General features: G+C 40.3%; 1 annotated feature.

Annotated features, from left to right (window-relative positions):
- Positions 15136–15801: an enhancer, noted in NCBI's record as "OCT4-NANOG hESC enhancer chr10:6690794-6691459 (GRCh37/hg19 assembly coordinates)". NCBI's record gives its function as "activates a minimal SCP1, AML or CMV promoter by ChIP-STARR-seq in naive H9 embryonic stem cells {active_cell/tissue: H9 hESC(naive)}" and the evidence as "EXISTENCE:reporter gene assay evidence [ECO:0000049][PMID:30033119]".

Genomic DNA, 20678 nt, shown 5'->3' with positions numbered 1-20678 from the left:
ATCACTTCAATTAGAATGAGAGAGAGTTTATTTAGTAGATACTTGTACAGAACTATCTCTGATTTCAAGGAAAACAAATTAAGCAATATAATTTGGGAGACTGAGTCATGAAATAGGAGTCCGAAGACCCCACTTTTATTCTGGATCCAACACAAAGCTATTATATGACCCTAAAAAAGTCATTTCAATATGCCAAGTCTCAGTTTTTGCATGTATCAATCATTTCACAGAGATACAGGGAAGATTTTATTTGACAAAAACAAATGTATATACAATGAAATGCATAGCTGTTGAGTGTCCAATTTGATACATTTTAGCAAATGTAAGCATGGAGTGTCACCAACACCCAGGTGAAAATACGGAACATTAGCCAGGCTTGGTGATGAGTCTCTCTAAAAAAAATTAAATCAAAATATCGAACATTTCTCTCTCCCCAGAAAGTTTCCTCGTAGAGTGGAAGAATTTCAAGATGTCTTCAGTACTGCATCACCTATAAATCTGGACTTCATTATGAATCACAACCAGGAGGATAGGCCCGTGAATCTACTTCCCTGTGACTAAATTATTCGTTTTATTCATACTATTTTCTCCCTAGACCAATAGTTCCCAAACTGTACTAGGATAATTCCTGGGACAAATCATCTGGCTTGAGAGGTGGGAAACAGCCAATACAGTTAGCCAGGTAACAGGGTCAAACTCATGGGAGCATCAGGCAAAGCTGAGCATGTCTCTTTACTGCAAGACCCGTCAGCACCTTTTCATTGTCTTAATGTGCATTGCAACTCTGTCCTATGAAAACATGCAATGCCTATTTCCAAAACTTATTGTCCACAGTGTATTTTTATTTCAAAACACCTACTTATATCTCAAAGGAACTCAAGTTGCTGCTAAGACAATTGGGAAATGCTTACCTTGATCATGACAGACTCAAAAACTGTCAAGGAAGGCTGAGAACATTCCAAAGACCTCAGCTGCCATCGACTTGTGTTACTGAGACGTCCTGTGAGGAAACCCTCTTTTCCCAAGGTTTCTGACTAGTTCAGTTCACTAATATTGTGGAATGGATAAAGTCAACATGGAAGAATCTCCCCTCTCCTACCATTTTGGGGGAAATTGGTGTCTAACACTGCAGCTTTGTTTTGTTTTTCATACTTTAAGTTCTAGGGTACATGTGCACAATGTGCAGGTTTGATATATAGGTATACATGTGCCGTGTTGGTTTGCTGCACCCATCAACTCATCATTTACATTAGGCATTTCTCTTAATGCTATCCCTCCCCCAGCCCCCCACCCCCTGACAGGCCTCGGAGTGTGATGTTCACCACCCTATATCCAAGTGATCTCATTGTTCAATTCCCACCTATGAGTGAGAACATGCGGTGTTTGGTTTTCTGTCCTTGTGATAGTTTGCTGATAATGATGGTTTCTAGCTTCATCCATGTCCCTGCAAAGGACAAGAACTCATCCTTTTTTACAGCTGAATAGTATTCCATGGTGTGTATATTCCACATTTTCTTTTCTTTTTTTTTTTTTTTTTTGAGATGGAGTCTCACTCTGTCCCCCAAGCTGGAGTGCAGTGGTGCGATCTTGGCTCACTGCAAGCTCTGCCTCCTGGGTTCATGCCATTCTCCTGCCTCAGCCTCCCGATTAGCTGGGACTACAGGTGCCCACCACCACGCCTGGCTAATTTTTTGTGTTTTCTTTTTTTAGTAGAGACCGGGTTTCACCGTTTTAGTCAGGATGGTCTCGATCTCCTGACCTCATGATCCGCCTGCCCCAGCATCCCAAAGTGTTGGGATTACAGGTGTGAGCCACCGCGCCTGACCTATATGTGCCACATTTTCTTAATCCAGTCTATCATTGATGGACATTTGGGTTGGTCTGTGCTATTGTGAATAGTGCCGCAATAAACATATGTGTGCATGTGTCTTTATAGTAGCATGATTTATAATCATTTGGGTCTATACCCAGGAATGGGATTGCTCAGTCAAATGGTAATTCTAGTTATAGATCCTTAAGGAATCGCCACACTGTCTTCCACAATGGTTTAACTAATTTACACTCCTACCAACAGTGTAAAACATTCCTATTTCTCCACATCCTCTCCAGCATCTGTTGTTTCCTGACTTTTTAATGATTGCCATTCTTTTTTTTTTTTTTTTTTTGAGATGGAGTCTGGCTCTGTTGCCCAGGCTGGAGTGCAGTGGTGTGATCTCTGTTCATTGCAACCTCCACCTCCCAGGTTCAAGTGATTTTCCTGCCTCAGCCTCCCAAGTAGCTGAGACTACAGATGTGTGCCACCACGCCTGGCTAACTTTTTTGTATTTTTAGTAGGGACAGCGTTTCACTGTGTTAGCCAAGATGGTCTTGATCTCCTGACCTCTTGACCCGCCTGCCTTGGCCTCCCAAAGTGCTGGGATTACAGGCGTGAGCCACCGCACCCGGCTTGGATTGCCATTCTAACTGGCATGAGATGGTATCTCATTGTGGTTTTGATTTGCATTTCTCTGATGACCAGTGATGATGAGCATTTTTTCATGTGTCTGATGGCTGCATAGATGTCTTCTTTTAAGAAGTGTCTGTTCATATCCTTTACCCACTTTTTGATGGGTTTTTTTTTCTTGTAAATTTGTTTGCGTTCTTTGTAGATTATGGATATTAGCCCTTTGTCAGATGGGTAGATTGCAAAAATTTTCTCCCATTCTATAGGTTGCCTGTTCACTCTGACGGTAGTTTCTTTTGCTGTGCAGAAGCTCTTTAGTTTAATTAGATCCCATTTGTCAATTTTGGCTTTTGTTGCCATTGCTTTTGGTGTTTTAGACATGAAGTCCTTGCCCATCCCTATGTCCTGAATGATATTGCCTAGGTTTTCTTCTAGGGTTTTTATGGTTTTAGGTCTAACATTTAAGTCTTTAATACATCTTGAATTAATTTTTGTGTAAGGTGTAAGGAAGGGATCCAGTTTCAGCTTTCTACATATGGCTAGCCAGTTTTCCCAGCACCATTTATTGAATAGGGAATCCTTTCCCCATTTCTTGTTTTTGTCAGGTTTGTCAAAGATCAGATGGCTGCAGATGTATGGCATTATTTCTGAGGCCTCTGTTCTGTTCCGTTGGTCTATGTATCTGTTTTGGTACCAGTAGTATTGTATCATTCTTATGCCTTTGTGTCCTCATAGCTTAGCTCCCACATATCAGTGAGAACATACGATGTTTGGTTTTCCATTCCTGAGTTACTTCACTTAGAATAATAGTCTCTAATCATTTTTAATGTTAATTGTGGCTTACATTTTTTGAATAGGCAAAACCAAATTTCCAATTTACAGTAAAACAGGAGCTAAGAATAACCACAGAGAATCATACCCTTGGATTAAAAAAAAAAAAAACTCTTAACTTTTTGTAATTTCTAATTTAATTTAATACACTTTGTATTAACTTATGAACACTTCTCATTTTTTTCTTTGATCCTGAAATAGAAGGCATTAAATTATGCACAGATTATTGAAAGGGGCAAAGAGAACAGGCTCTGGAACCAGATCTGCCACTCAGGTTGGAATCCTGACTATGTGCGAAGTGAGGAAGTCCCAGGAGGCAACATGAGAAGAAGATAAAAAGGTTCAGAGTTACAATTACTCCACCAAAATAAAAGGTCTGGGGCTACTACTGAGGTTTATGAAATTTGTGGGGCTGATTACAGATGGTTTTCTATAAACAAGAAGAAAAAAGATCACTTCTTTATTCCTAGCTCAGCAGACATCTCCAAGAGCTCAACAGACTGAACCAGAGATAAATTTTCAAAGTATAATTTACTATGCATTTATTATGTGCCAGGCAGTGTTGCAAGCAGTTTATATTTATTAACTTATATAATCTTTATCAGAAGGAGTTGAAGGATGTCAGCAGGAATGGTGGAGTAAAAACCTCTGAAAATCCACTTCTCCATAAAAGCAATAAGAACACTGAGAAAAAATGTCAAATCATCATTTCTGGAACTCTGAAAATTAGCCAAAGTCTTGAAATAATTTGGGGAACATTTTCTTATTTATTTATTTATTTATTTCATTTGAGATGGAGTCTTGCTCTGTCGCCCAGGCTGGAGTGTGGTGGCACGATCTCAGCTCACTGCCTCCTGGGTTCACACAATTCTCAGCCTACCCATGGTAGGCTACCCATGTAGTCCCATGGTAGCTGGGACTACAGGCACCTGCCACCATGCCTGGCTAATTGTTTTGTATTTTTAGTGGAGACAGGGTTTCACCGTGTTAGCCAGGATGGTCTCGATCTCCTGACCTCGTGATCCACCTGCCTCGGCCTCCCAAAGTGCTGGGATTACAGGTGTGAGCCACCGCACCTGGCTGGAGAACATTTATTTTTAAAAAATGGCCAAAACTTCGTAATAACAGTGATCTTTGCATCATTTTCAGTTCCTCTATACTCACTTTCCTCTCTAGCTCTACAGTAGCCTTGAAAACAAAGAGCCCTGTGATCATAATGAAAACAATCATCCTAGAAGCTCTGAAGAAGGGAGAATAGCTTTGGAGCTCCCCTAAAACATTCCCAGAGAACTACCGTCATTTGCCTAGAAGTTCCCTGGAAACTTCCTCTCGAAGGGGTTGTCTTTATTTGGCCTGAACCAGTGATCACTGACTGTGAACAGCCATTCTCCAGATGTGTTTGTCAAAAACAATCAGCAGTAACTATTTAACATTAAAGCTGCCTAAAGCTGTGATAACATTTGGAGACAAAAAGAAGCTAGCCAAAAAAACTTAAAAGGAAAATCTGAGGAATAAGATGTCATAGGGAACTTTGAAGAGTTCTAATATATTCCTGAAAATCTAAACAGCCACACACATGAGAAAGAATGTGTGACTGCCCAGGGCTCTGCATATGACCAGGAAATACCTCAGAGGGCCCTAAGCTCTCACCTCTTTATTACCTGGGGAATCTGCACAAACAGGAAGTGAAGGATAAGGCAGAATTATAAACTGCCTTCCTACACATTGAAGGCATACCTCAAAACCCACACAGCCCCTTATCAGAGGCTTGAAAGACAGGAATTCCAGGCATTTCTGAAAATCTGTGTCCAGATATTAGCTGACACAATAAACTAATCATGCAGAGACTCCAATAAATACATGTGAAAAATGATGCAGACTTGAAAGAGTCAGTCCAGAAAATTAATGAAATAAACAAAGAGCAGCAACAAAAACAAACCCTGTGGAGAAGAAAGAATATGATTTCCAGAGTGGCCACATATTATTATTTAAAATGCCCAGTTTTCAACAAAAACATCCCAGCAGTTTCTTGAAAACTTAAACATAGACTGGGACCCACAAGCCACTCCCAAGTATATCCCCAAGAGAAGTGAAAAGAAAGCAGTAACACTGCCTCTATTTGAAGATGACAAGATCTTGCATATAAAAAAAATCCCAAAGAACCCACAACATAAAAACTCATACGCAACGTCTGTATAAAAACTTGTATACAATGTTTATAGCAGAATTGTTTGTAATGGCTGAATAGTGAAAAAAATCCAAAAGTACATCAACTAATGAAAACATAAACAAAATGCCGTATATTCATGCTGTGGAAGAGGATTCAACCATGAAAAGGAATGAAGTACTGATAAATGCTACAACATGGACGAACCTTGAAAACATTATGCTGAGTGAAAAAAGTCAGAGACAAGAGGCCACATACTGTATGATTCTATTTATATGAAATGCCCAGAATAGGAAAATCCATAGAGGCATCGATTATTGGTTGCCAGGACCTAGGGCAAAGCAGGGTGTATGGAATGACTACTAGAATATATGAAGCTTCTTTTTGGATAATGAGCTTGTTCTGAATTCCATAAGGGCGATAGTTCACACCTGTGTGAATATACTAAAAACCACTGTGGGGGTGGTTGTGGGGCTACTGCAGTCTTCTCTATTCAACAGATGATAAAATGGAGGTACTAGATATTAGGCAATTTATGCTAAGTCACAAAAGTAGTAAGTGATAAAAATGGGATTCAAACCTAGACACTCTGTCTCCAGCATCCAAACTTTTAACTACTATGTCATGTGGAACTTGCAAAAGTCTCTTTCCTAGCAAAATTCAACTAACAAACCAAACAGGTGATATCTTGTTTCCTTTTTAGCTGGAGACAATGATATAAAGCAGAGATATTTGTACCATTTTTGTAGATTAGGTGATATACCCAGATATTCTGTAAGATTACAATGACATATAATGAAACCTATAAGTACCTTTACAGAAATTGCCTCTCATCAGATCATTTGGTTCCATCTTTGCCATATGTAAAATCTTCTACTATAATGGCACAGGAATAAGACTTTTTCCGCAGAGACTTTACCAGTGTGGACTTGTCATTTTCTGTTTCACAATGTTACTCAAGCCCTTGGTGTTTACCTTCCTTGTTTATAACACAGGGATAATAGTGGTATCCCCTTAGAGGACTGGAATTAACACAATACGCTTAGGCTACTGCCATGAACATAGTGCTCCTTCATAAGTGCTAGCTATCGTAGTAATAATTAATATTATGCTCATACCGATACCATAAACTAATCATCACTTTCCTCATAATTCTTGTTAATATAGGCAATATGAGAAAATAAATAACTTAAATGAGAATATGATCAATGTTCACCAGCCACTACAACCATTGCAAGAATAGCTAGTAACTCACGGACTGGGTGGATGGAGAGTGAACTACACAAATAAGGTGAGGACACAAGGAGAGAAGTATTCTGCTGAATTAGCAGATATTTTCCCTAAGTGAAAATTTTGGAAATGGATGGAAACTATAACCAGTTGAATTTTCAGAGTAGGATTGTGAGGCTGAGTAACATTTTCCAAACATTTTTAATCCATATTTGGTTGAATCCACAGATGTGAAATCCACAGATATGGAGGATGACTGTGTGTTTAAATAGAATAAATATGTTAATTAGTTGGATTTATTTATTTATTTTTTAATTCTCAGATGGTACTTGGACTGGGTCACTGGTCACTAGCTTAATTTTTGATACCTAGGGAAATTTTCTCACACAGGCACAAGACTGTAAAGAAGTCAGTGTTTATCCTCAGATGCAACACCAATTCCACTTAGCAGAAGGTCCCTGGATTTCAAAAGAAGGAAATGAAGTATCTTGGTTTGATGAGGGGAAGTCACCGACTATAAGAAGGATGCCAAGTATTTTGGATTGATAAGCAGAAGTTGATGAAGAAAACAGAACGAATTCAGAAGAACTATGATCTTGTCCTGTGGTTTTTCTCTGACTTTATAAAGACCTAGGCTTCATATCTTTGCTTCTATGGAGACCAGATGCCTCATTTCCAACATGAAGGGCTTGATCAGTTGATCTCTGTGTTCCTTTCTCAGAGGTCTAATGTTCTACAATTAAATGCCAGTCAAGTCAAGAGCAGGCATCTCAGATTCTTCAGAATAACCACCATGAAAGGAAAAGAATGGAGAGAAGAAGAGGAGTGACTGAAGGAATAAACATTCTGCTTTCTGAAAGGGCTGAAGACACTTGACAACATAGCAATTAATAAAAGGACAAAAGAGATCTGGGAGCAGAGTTTTCATGTTTGAGTAGACGGACTCAGCAGGAGGGTTAAAAGATGGACAAGGTGGGCAAGTCACCAATGAGAAATGTAAGGTGGGGGGGTGGGTATGGTGTTGTGCAAAGGGCATGGGATTTGGGTCCTAAAACCTGTTTGAAGTCATTCACTAATTTATATAACTGTGGGTAAGCCACCCATGTTTCTGAGCCTTATTTCCTCATATGTAAAGTGTGAACAATATTTGTACTAGATTCCCGAGGATTCACATAGGATCCTTCAAATGATACATAATAGTAAATTAATTAATATATCCTGCACCTAGTTTCTGCCCACAAATTTCTTTTTGGATGCAATCTACAAAAACACAGAGTTATCTTTATCCCTCGAGTTTTGTCCCTGAAGTTATCCCTGGAGTCTGGCAGAGAGGCACAACAAAGGTCATCTCCTAATCCCTTCCCTTCTCTGTCCAGAAGTCTACAAAATCCCCCTCAAAACCTACAAATATTGTAAAGCCTTACCAGTAAAACCTACTGTGATAAATAGAAGCCACACAATTTACTCATATAAAATGCAAGTTCACATTATATGAGCTAAATGAAATGAACTCAGTAGCCTTCAGAGTATTCCACTGAGGGTTCTGATCTGTCCCAACAAAAATCCCAGCTGTACTTTGGCACACATGGTGAGTGTTACCTTCTCCTGCTTAAATATTGATGGAGATGATTCTGGGCTCTGTGGCTCAGCAGCTCCAGGGATCTTCTGTTCATTTGCATCTTGAGAAGATTGGGCCAGGAGACTATGGTGGCTGGGAGGATACATCCTCCTCCTGCCCTCTTTCCAAGATGGGCTTGTCTGTTTCATCCTTCCCTCCACATTCCCCTCCTAGGTCAGAAGATAAGAACTTTCGGAATCATTCTCCCCATTTAAGAATGGGGGCTTGGCAAGGAAGAGATCCAATCACTAATTTTAATGTGATATTGGGATATTTTACTGTAACTCCCAAATCTGAAAAGCATCCTATCAATGAGTGTTTGTGTTATCTACTATTTTAACTGATAAGGGCTGAATTCTGTCTCCCCAAAATTCATACGTTGAAGTCCTAACCCCCAGTACCTCAGTATTTGGAGACAGCACCTTTATAGAGGTCATTAAGTCCAAATGAGGCCAGTTAGGATGTGTCCTGATCCAATATGACTTGTGAATTTATAAGGAAAGGAGATCAGGACACACAGAGGGATGCCAGAAATGCACACAGAGAAAAGACCATATGAGGTCCCAGGGAGAAGGTGGCCATCTGCAAGCCAAGAAGGGAGGCTTCAGGAGAAACCAACCCTGCCAGCACCTTGATCTTGAACTTCCAGACTCTAGAATAGTGAGAAAATAAATTTCTGTTGTGTAAGCCATCCGGCCTGTGGTATTTCGTCATGGCAGGCCTGCATCAGTCCATGTTTGCATAGCTATAAAGAAATACCTGAGACTGGATAATTTGTAAAGAAAAAAGGTTTTGTTGGTTCACAGTTCTGCAGGCTGTCCAGGAACCACGGCACCAGCATCTCTTCCTGCTGAGGCTCCGAAAAGTTCCAGTCATGACAGAAGGTAGAGGGAGAGCTGGTGTATCACATGGCAATAGCAGGAGCAAGGGGTGGGGGAAGATGCCAGGCTCTTCTCAATAACCAGATTGCACATGAACTAACAGAGCAAGAACTCACTCATTGCAATGCGGATGGCCCAAGCCATTCATGAGGAGTCCACCCTCATGACACAAACACCTCTCACCAGGCTCCACCTCCAACATTGGGGATTACATTTCAACATGAGATTTGGAGGGGACAAACATTCAAACCATATCACAGCCCCGGTGGACTAATATATTAACCAAGTGATAATGGTAACCTCTAGTGAGGGAAATGGACAAAATGGAGAAAGAAACCCACATTGCTGAGTCTTATGCACCTTCTCCTTCCCTATTCCTTAAATAATGGAGGCTAACTCTTCCCGATGGGAGTTAAGGCTCAGAGAAACACACTGATTTGAAGAAATTATTCAAAGCTCAGGACAGCCTTTCTGCACAGGAATGGTTACAATAGGCCATTCTATCAGTTATCTATTACTGCTTAACAGAGTGCCCCAAACTGAGCAACTAAAGCAACAAGTGTTATCTCACAGTTTCAGTGGGTCAAGAGTACAAGACTGGCTAATCTCACTGGTACTGGTGCAGGGTCACTCATGAAGCTTCAAGCAACCTGTTAGCTGGAGCTGCAGTGCCATGAAGTTCCTGAAGCTGTAGGCTCCAGTTCTAAGCTCACTCACATGGCTTATTTCCTCATCTCACAAACCTCTGTTTGGGCTGATCACAATGTGGCAGCTGACTTCCTCCAGAGCAAGCGTTCTGAGACCAACAGTAAGAACAACCAACATGGCAGCCGCAGTATGTTTTATAACCCACCTGCAGTATCTTGTATAACCCACCTGCAGTTTCTTGTATAACCCACCCGCAGTTTCTTGTATAACCCACCTGCACTATCTTGTATAACCCACCTGCAGTTTCTTGTATAATCCACCTGCAGGAGGGACATATCATTGGGTCTTCCATGTGCTATTGGTCACACAGAAACCTCACACAATGTAGGAACGGACTAACACAAGGGTGTGAATACTGGGAACTGAGGACCAGTTATTTGCAGCCACCTTGGAGGCTGACTACCATTTAAAAAGTCTCAGAAGAGAGTGTGGAGCCCAAGTATCCTTACCAATTCTCCGTGCTCACTCACCTGAATCCATTCCTTTTCCCAAACCCATCCCCCCTGACTAAATAAAGGTCAATAGAACCCAACATTTCCTTTACATGTACTCATGAAAAAGAAAAAAAAAAGAAGAAGAAAGCTAGTGTCAGGTAAAGTAGTAAAGTGTGAAGAGAGTCAAATAGTTATTTATCCATTATATTTGTGAGCAAGTGGCATGTCTGGAAAGACCCATCTAATCATAAAGAAGACAGAAAGAAAAGGCATGTTATATAATATTGACATCACACAGTTAGAAAACACACACACAACCCACAGCAAGGGAAAATTTGGGTCCTAACCTAGGAGAAGGTATAAATTGGCTCTTCACAGTTGGTTTCTGCTACAAAATAACTTTAAAACAGTATTGATTCAATAAAACAGCATCCTAAAGATAAGATGATGAAACAAGAGGGAGATTGGAAATGAAAGAAATTAAATTGTCAACCACAACCACATCCCTTTGGAAGTCATTAATTAGAAAAAGCAGGAAACAGAATAGTCATCTCTGAAAATCAAATTAATGACATAAAAGAAATACTCCAATATAGATTAAATAGAAAAAAACAATGAGGGAGAAACTAATAAATAGAAAACACATGAGAATATTATTGTACCTACAGCAGAAAAATCCAACAGATTGACAAAAAGATGTATGAAAAGATAGAAGTGAATGTCTCTGAAATGGAGAAAGTATTGAAGCTGCAAATCGCAAAAGCAAAATGTGCCTAGGGAAATTCGATATAGAAAGCCTACCACCAAGATTTGTCCTAGTAAAGATTTTGAAATTCAATGATAAAGAAAATAGTTCTTCAGGCACCAAGCAGAGAGAGCGAGTCGCTCTAAAGAAAGATGTGATCATGGTTGGTTTTACAGTGTTCTACAAATACCATTCAATAAGAGAAGACATCAAAAAATACCTACAAAGTTCTGAGAAGAGAAGGCACGGGGCCAAGAATATCATACCTAGTTAAGATGTCATGAAGACATAAAAGTGACACATATATATTCTCAAACAAGGAAGAACTAAAGAAATGTAATGCCTAGGAGCCTTTCTTTCATTTAAAAAAAAAAATTCCTTGGCATTAAAATTCATCGGCCGGGCATGGTGGCTCACAGCTGTAATCCCAGCACTTTGGGAGGCCAAGGTAGGCAGATCACAAGGTCAGCAGATCAAAACCATCCTCTCCAACATGGTGAAACCCCGTCTCTACTAAAAATATAAAAATTAGCCAGGCATTGCAGCATGTGCCTGTAATCCCAGTTACTCGGGAGGGTGAGGCAGGAGAATTGCTTGAACCTGGGAGGTGGAGGTTGCAGTGAGCCGAGATTGCGCCACTGCACTCCAGCCTGGCGACAGAGCTAGACTCTGTCTCAAAAAAAAAAAAAAAAATTATCCATTGCAGAATGAATTTAAATGTAGAACTCATGAAGGTAGAAGCTATGACGAAAGGGTAGGTAATCAGCACCTAAGCCATTTAAATATAAAGCTAACACTTAATAACTATACAAGTTATGGTCATAGAACAGAATATGCATGCTATAAACCTAGACAATAAAAAATAATAATAATACTATAAGCAACAAAAATTGTCATTGAGGGAGGGGAGCTATGAAACATTGAATGATTGTGAAAGGACTCATTCCTTCATTTTTCAAAGCAAAGTATCAACAGATACTTTCCTAAAACCTGAATATGAGTTTACCAAAAACAAAACAAACAAACAAAAAAACCCCCTCATGTCATAAGGAGTGCAATCTTGTAATATTTCTGAAAACTTCTCTTAATTTTAAAATCATCTTTAGGTAATAGTAATAGCTGTTCTTGGGATGGTATTTATTTAAAAATTAAGAATTTGTTCAGTATTTTTCTTCTATTTAGTTAAATCTAAAAAGCCAAATTTAAAAATAACATCTGGCATATCATTCCATTTTTATAAATGTATTAAAGACATAATTATCTATTTATTCTTCCCCTTCTTTCTGAATAAATATATAGAAAAAGTGCTGAAATAACAGCCTAACAATTGTGATAACAATTTCTGGGTACCTGGCTTGGATGCTTATTTTTAGTTTTATCTTTATGCTTTTACATTCGTTGATTTCTTTACAATTTGTAAACATCATTCATTGGAAAAAAAATGGAGACAAATATATCAAGATGCTATCCATGGTTAAAACTGGGCAGTAGGACCAGAAGTGATGATTTTTTTCTTTATATTTTGATGTTTTCTTAATTACGTTGAAGTGGAAATTTTTTTTTAAAAAAGGAAAAACATTAAAATTGGGAGAGATTTTAAAAATCATCTAGTCCAGATCTTTTATTTAATAAATTTAAATAAATGCAACACACATTTATTAAGTGCCTACTGTATGCAGATCAACTGAAAGATGAATAGGATATAGACTTTGCCCTTAAACCAGTGATGTGCTTGAGTTGGCTTGTGATCGCACACAAGGGTTTATTTTTAAGTTTTCAGGAATTTAGGGTGCTTTTTGTTACATACAGTTATTATTTAAAATTAAATTATATACTTCACTGTAGTATTTTTCATGCTGGTGAATATCTTTAATCTTATTTTGATATGCCACATTATAACTAAAAATGGGCTACCAACAGTGCCTTTCTTAAAAAATTATATCCAGATGTAGTGGCTCATACCTGTAGTTCCAGCTACTTGGGAGGCTAAGGCAGGAGGATCACTTGAGCCTAGTTGGCTGAGGCTGGAGTGAGCCATGATGGCATCACCTGCATTCCAGCTCAGGTGACAAAGCAAGAAAAAATTAATAAATTTTGTCCAAAAAATAAATTATACAAACTTACAATTAAATAAGTTATATTGAAATTCTTAAATTTTATCTAAAAAATTATACAAACTTATAATTGAATAAATTATATTAAAAAGAAAAGTATGGTGCAAATGTAATTGTGGTTTTTGCCATTAAAAGTAATGGTAATTTTTAAAAGCAATTAAAAATATTTTTGCCATTAAAAATAATAAGTACCCAGACACTTCCAAGTGATTTTATTCCATGCGCTGTTTCCTGGGCTCTTGGGAGCCGGTTCGCATGTTGCCTCTGTCTGGTGGAAACCTGTGCCGTGAGGGCTACTGCACACCTCTTCTCAACTCTCCTTCAAGGACATCGCATTAAGAGGCTAAATTTGGCTTTCGTGGGAGGATTTTCACCAGAGAAAGCATTAACTATTACACATTTGAGCTTCACTATTTTAAAGAAGCCATGAGAAAAAATGGGAATGATGTAGATTGTACTTCAATGTTTGCCACGCTTGTAGCTATGACGTGAATAGCACAAATTTAAGGAAAGAAATATTCTTCCAGTATTTGGAAACTGTCACTCAATTCAGTAATCACTCATGTTACTGAAAAATGAATGAAGTTACAACTATGTCTTCATTGTTTCAGTTTTGTCTTGCTAATGCAAATGGAAATACCAGCCAACTGTCACAGCAGAAGTACATTCGTTCTTCAGTTGCAACCATGCGTTGGCGGCAGTTACTGGAGTACAGTTAATACCAACGAAAGCATCTCGTGAGAATCAACTGACTAACTGGAATTGACAATAAAAGGTATCATATGATATAATATTTTATTATTATTTTTAAGTGGCATGCTATATACTCTTTACATTGGTGAAAGCTGTAATAAACATATGAGTGTGTGTGCACCTGCTCACATATAGTTTCTTTTAGAGTTGGTCATTACATATGCCAACGCAAAACTGTTCATAATCTAGTGTGAAAGAAAAATCTGTGAAAAACGATCAATAACAAAAGGCAGAATGAAAGAATCAAAGTCTTAGCCTATAAGGGAACAGTGTGATCATCTGCCTGGTGAAAGAAAGCAAGGAAAGAATCCAAGGTTCAGAAGGATGATGAGAATGGTGCAGTTCATTCCGTTTGCCAGCAAAATCAATCATTGCCAGAACTCAGCAGCCTTTCTCCCAGCAGCCCATGGAGAATGACAGACTCTTTTCCCTCATTCTGCTTGTATGCTGTATGCACATGAAATCGTGTTCATTTTAAACCAAATTCACTGAGATTTTGTGCTATCAAGATGCCTAGGAGTGACGTGATCAATAAACCGAGAACCAAGAAGAGATTTCTCCTCTCCAAATCACCGTTCCATCCCTTCCGTCATTCCTCTGTGATTCTTCCCACAGGAATCCTCTTACACCTACAAGCCTGAGCAGTCAAGAGAACTATGGCACATTACAATACATGACAGGGGAATTTTCTAAAGAGACACACATCCCTGACTGATGCAGAAGCTTCATCTGAGGATGCAGGAAGTGGAACAGCCACTGCGTCATTGCCTCTTCTAAACAGAAATGGAATCAGTGGGAATAATTATAAAACTGGAGAATATATAAAAATTGCCTCTAAAATAAACCTATCTCCTTCCTAAGAAGTAGCCATGCTCACCAGATGGAGTGGAAAGGCAATTGGGGAAATGGGTCAGTCCCACCTGGGCCTCCACCCAGCTGGGTGACCCAAGACCTTCATTTTTATCACCTATAAAATGAAAGTGTTCAACAGGCTGCTTTTCATGTCTCTTTTCAGCCCTAATGTTTCTTAATTCTAAGGACTAGCAGAGTAGAGATCTCTCTCTAAGGAAAGTTAAGAAGTTCCTAGTCCCAAATAGAGTCTGTTTTGCTACAGTGCATGTTTGTGCAATCTAAATTAACTCATCCATGACTGACGATTTGGGGAATATCCGAATGGGAGAAAAGGCATGCTGACTCACAGTTTTTACCAGGAGTTTAGATTTTGTACCTCCCGGTAACAATAGCTTCCTGCAAAGTCCACTAGCCCAGCTGAACACAGCCAGGCATGGAGGATTCAACACAGTACTGCATATTCAGGCGACCCAAGTGTGCTCCAAAAGCTCACAGTCGGAGCATCTCAGGTAAGCCTGTTGGAAATGCAGAATCCCAGACCCTACTCCAGGCTGACTAAATCAAAATCTGCATTTGAACAACACCTCAAGGTTATTCATATGCATATTGGAGTTTGAAAAGCCTTGATACCTTCAACATTCATTCGTGGCACTTTCTGCTACTCAACTCAGTTTTACCACCTGTTCTTTCTTGGACCTGCTTATTAAGTGGCTCACCCACTTCTGTTAAGCTACTGATATGGTTTGGCTGTGTCCCCACCCAAATCTCATCCTGAATTGTAGTACTCATAATCCCCATGTGTCATGGGAGGGACCTGGCAGGAGGTAATTGAATCATGGGGTGGTTACCCTCATGCTGTTCTCATGATAGTGAATGAGTTCTCATGAGATCTGACGGTTTTATAAGGGGCTTTTCCTCTCTTCGCTCTGCACTTCTCCTTGCTGCTGCCATGTGAAGAAGTATGTGTTTGCTTCTCCTTCCGCCATGACTGTAAGTTTCCTGAGGCCTCCCCACATTGCAGAATTGTGAGTCAGTTAAACCTCTTTTCTTTATAAATTACCCAGTCTCGGGTGATTCTTCTAAGCAGCATTACAATGGACTAATACAGCTACCTACAATTTTGTTTTGGTTTTAAGGGATTGAAACTGTCATTTTTACTCTGATTCTTTCTCCTAGGATTCCTAATGTTTTTGTCAGTACTGTGGTTAAAAATTTGCAACATTCTTTTTCCCAGAAGCCTTATTATATTTTAGCACATGATTTTGCAGTACATAAAGTTTTTTGTGATCTTATATATAACATTATAGCAGAAATGCCAATATACTGCTTCAGTTCAGTTCTATCTTTAATAAATTAAGTTATTGAAAAATAAACTTATCCTTTTTTAAGCTAGTGTGGACTATTTGGGAAAAGAAGGAAAAGTAATTTTCCCTTATTCTTTACCAACCCAACCTCAGGAGGGTTGCTTTCCTTTCCCTTTTCCCCAAACCCACACACTACTACTGAAAGTGGTGTCTCTGCTCTTGGCTCTTGGTATGGGAACCACAGTGAGTATGAATTACTGATTATAAAAATTTTGGTCTGATATTTTAAAATTCATTGCATCCTCACCCTAATAAACCTAGTAACCCTTTGTGAGGCTACAAAAAAAAAAGGCATATTTGCTTGCCCAGGGGGCTTCTCTTCCAGTTCACCTGGGTAGAATTCTGGGTGTAGTCCCCACTTCTACCACTAGGGACCACTCCCGTCCCCAGGGACCTTGTCTCAGTCCTGGACCCACAGCATCCGTTCCAGTCCCCAGAGCTCAACCACTGGGCAGGGAAAGCTCCCAGGAAGGGGCTCGGCTTCACTGTGGTTTTCTGTGAGCCACGTTTTCTGCTTATAGACCCGGGAGGTAGGAGCTGACCCAGTCTCCCACCGGCTCCTCCTCTGGTGGTTATGGCCAAGCCAGCCTGCACACCCCTGAGGCTGGAGAGGAGCATACTGCCCAGCCCGCCGGGCCCCGCGCTGCGGCCCTCAGACCTCTCCTGTTAGCTTCAGCGCGGTTCTCGTTCTGGCCTAAGGAAGCTGCTCTTCTTCCAAACCATCTCTCTCAAAATAGGTTGCCAGCCACTATGGTCTACTAGAATTGAGTTTCCCTATTTGAAAAAAAGGTTTTGTCTTTAAAAATAAAAAAAGAAAAAAAAAAAAAAGAGTCCAAGGAAGAAGCCGATTTTATTTATATTTGATTGAAATATTATTCCCTAATCCTCCATTATCATTTTCATTTCCCTCTATCTTTCAGCATTCTTTATTATTCCAGGGGTAGACCTGCCGTGGGTCTGATCACACCATTAATAATGTGACTTAAAAGCCTGTAGGTGCACACCCGGGAAGGCTGCCTTATTGGTCGAGCACTGCAGGGCCCTTCTCAAACGGACCACCATCACTGGGCCAGAGGCACTGACCCCTGAACATTACTTATACCTCCATGAGGAACTAGTGAGGCTACAGTGCCCAGACATTTAGCCTACAAACAGTACTGATGTTTCTGTAAAGGTATTTATAGATGCAATTAACATTTAAATTATAGACTTTGAGAAAGGAAGATGGGAAGGAAGGAGGGAGGGAGGGACAGAGGAAGGGAAAGAAGGAAGGAAGGGAGGGAGGGAAAGAGAAAGAAAGAAAGAGAGAGAGAAAGAAAGAAAGAAAGAAAGAAAGAAAGAAAGAAAGAAAGAAAGAAAGAGAAAGAAAGAGAAAGAGAGAGAGAGGGAGAGAAGGAGGGAGAGAGGGGGAGAGAGAGGGAGAGAGGGAAAGGGAAAGGGGCAGGGAGGGAGGGAGGGAAAGAGAAAGAGAGAGAGAGAAAGAAAGAAAGAAAGAAAGGGGGAGAGGGAGAGAAGGAGGGACAGAGAGAGAGAGGGAGGGAGAGAGGGAGAGAGGGAAAGGGAAAGGGGGAGGGACGGAGGGAGGGAAGGAAGGAAGGAGGGACGGAGGGAAGGAAGGAAGGAAGGAAGGAGGGAAGGAGGGAGGGAAGGAAGGAAGGAAGGAGGGAAGGAGGGAGGGAAGGAAGGAAGGAGGGAAGGAGGGAGGGAAGGAAGGAAGGAAGGAGGGAAGGAGGGAGGGAAAGAAGGAGGGAGGGGGGAGGCAAAGAGGGAGGGAGAAAAAAATAACACCAGGTTGCAATGAGCGATTTCATGACTTACAAGATTTGAAAGTGGACAGACTGACAGCTTCACTGCTAAGGAGCTTCTAAGCTGAAATGAAAACTGGAATCCCAGACTTTTTCCCACATCTGCCTCCCACGTTGCTGTGCATATAAGCACTAGGTTTCTGTCCCTCTGACTTCACAACAGAAAAGTAGATACTGGAATTCCTCTATATATCACCTTTTTAACCACTGCTATATCTTTCTGGGGCTCTTGCTAAAGTAGTAAGATTAATTTATATGATGAAAAGTGTTTTTCTTTTCTTTTCCTTTTTTTTTTTTTTTTTTTTTTTTTTTTTTGAGATGGAGTCTTGCTCTGTTGCCCAGGCTGGAGTGCAGTGGTGTGATCTCAGCAAACTGCAACCTCCGCCTCCGGAGTTCAAGTGATTCTTCTGACTCAGCCTCCTGAGTAGCTGGGATTACAGGCGTGTCCCACCAGGTCCGGCTAATTTTTGTATTTTTAGTAGAGATGGGGTTTCACCATGTTGGCTAGGCTGGTCTTGAACTACTGACCTCAAGCAGTCCACCCCACCTCGGCCTCCCAAAGAGCTGGGATTACAGGCATGGACCACCACGCCCGGCCTGAAAGTGTTTTTCTACAGGACACATTAGCACTTTCAACAACCACTAGTTCAGAGCCTCAGAAGTCCCTAAAAAGTGGTTCGCAACCCTGGGGGCACATGGAAATCACCAGAAGAGTTTGTCAAAGCTAGCGATGCTCCAGCCCCATCAAAAAGTATTAACTCAGAATCCTCTGTGTAGACCATGCAGAGGAAACTCCTTTAAGCTCCCGTAGTGACCCAGCCATGCAGCCAGAGTGGAGAAACCCCATCCTGAAAAACCAGGAGTGGGCCACCACCACTATTTGTCCCTGAACTGATGTCACAGTCATTGTTCAGTGGAGCTTGTAGTAAATTGGCTAGCACAGGCTTATTTCTCAGCTTGACTCTCAGCTTGGCTCTCTGGGGGACCCGATGTCCTTTCGGGCTCAGCTTACCAGTCATTTGACATTTCAGCCCCCATCCAGCATCGGCAACACCACCAGCACCATGGTGGAGTGGTGTCAGGAGCAGAGGTTCAGGGTCAGATACATGGTCACCTGACCTACAAGCCAAGGCATTGGGCAGTGACCCTTCGTTTTCATCTCTGTAAAATAGGAAGAATTATCAAAATTCAACCAATGGGATGTCTGTAATATTAATGGAATATGTGTAATATTCACTAACATACCCATCAAAATAAATTGCTGCTGTGAGTAATAGAGGTTCTTACCAAGAGCTCAACAGGTAAGAGTCAGGAGGTGCTTCTGGGATTCCAATAATTTGGAATGAAATGATGATGAATTGCAATTTGGTCGCAAATAAAAACAAGACAAACTAATAGGACTTGAGGTAGGAAGTGCTTGTGTTTGCTCTCTATGGCAGCCATTGAGGCTGCTCTCAGATCTGTGACTTGGGCCTTGATCCTTTATGGCATTTCTTGACACCCTTTCCTGCCCTCCCCACGATTGCTGCCTTCTCAACCTGCACGAGCCAGCCAGGATGATGGTGACTGATACTCTCCAGTCTCTGTCCATTGCAGCATGATTTGTAATAATAAAGAGTGAGAATAACAGACATATTGAACAATAAAGGGGAATTTGAATACATGATGTCTTTGTTTTTCAATGGAATCAGTTTGAAGAATTTCAAAAGAATTACAAAATGCTCACAAGATAATTTTAACTGACCCAAAAGCAAGATCAAACTGATTCTGTAGGTCAATTTTAATTGTGCATGTAGGTGTGTGTTTGGAAAAATAATCACTGTATCGAGCACCTATGATTAGAAGCCTATCTTGAACGTTACCTCACATGCTCATCTGAGACTAGCCAAGTATTCCTTGTTTTAAAGAGTCAGTTACCTTGTCAGTATATCTAATAAATGACAGTATCTACGCAGTCACCTTGAGTGCTTTAGGAATTAGGTGGGGAGGAAGATTAATTAATAAAGATAGATAATTTTTTTCTAAAAATGTTTACCTTTAGACATTTCTCTGGCTCCTCAAGACATCTCAGAGATTAAATTTCATCTGTTTTTTTTGTGTCCCAGGTTAAGGCTTTCCACCATTTTTCCTTGGGAGCACATGAGACAGCTGACATGCACAGATTGGACACACCTCCATGCACTGACAGATTATTCTGTGAGCTGTGTGTTTATCTAAAAGTCTTAATACCAAGGAAGATGAGGGAAAAAAAGCCATTGAAGGGCAACTGGAAATCTCTCCCACAGTGAACAGATATAAAAAGCCCCACGGGCTCTCAAGAAGAGCTTTCGGGAACTTTGAAAATGGATTCACATTCAGAAAATGCTGTTTTGTAACTCTTGTTTCTCACCCAGACCAAATCTGAGTTACAGGCAGTTCAAAACAAGCACAAACAGGGCTCGTGGTGTTACTAGGTTGGCTTATTTTCTGGAAATACAAGATCTTTCCAGAACTTCTTTATTAATTGATATGAGTAAAACTTTCCCCCTTTCCTGTCCATCAGACAGAAATAGTCACACCTCAGAAAATGACTAAGTGTTTTTGTAGTAAACCTCAGATGAAGACTTCAAGGAAGTGATTGGGGTGCCTCTTGCATGTGAATACTTTAAATATTATTTCAGCTCCAGCGTTTATTACAGTCCCTGTAAGCTTCTCAGAGGTAAAATGCAATAATCCAATAGTCAACCAAGTGGT

Source organism: Homo sapiens, chromosome 10 (assembly GCF_000001405.40).
Source record: "Homo sapiens chromosome 10, GRCh38.p14 Primary Assembly".
Classification (NCBI taxonomy): domain Eukaryota; kingdom Metazoa; phylum Chordata; class Mammalia; order Primates; family Hominidae; genus Homo; species Homo sapiens.
This window is presented reverse-complemented; position numbering and strand designations above follow the sequence as displayed.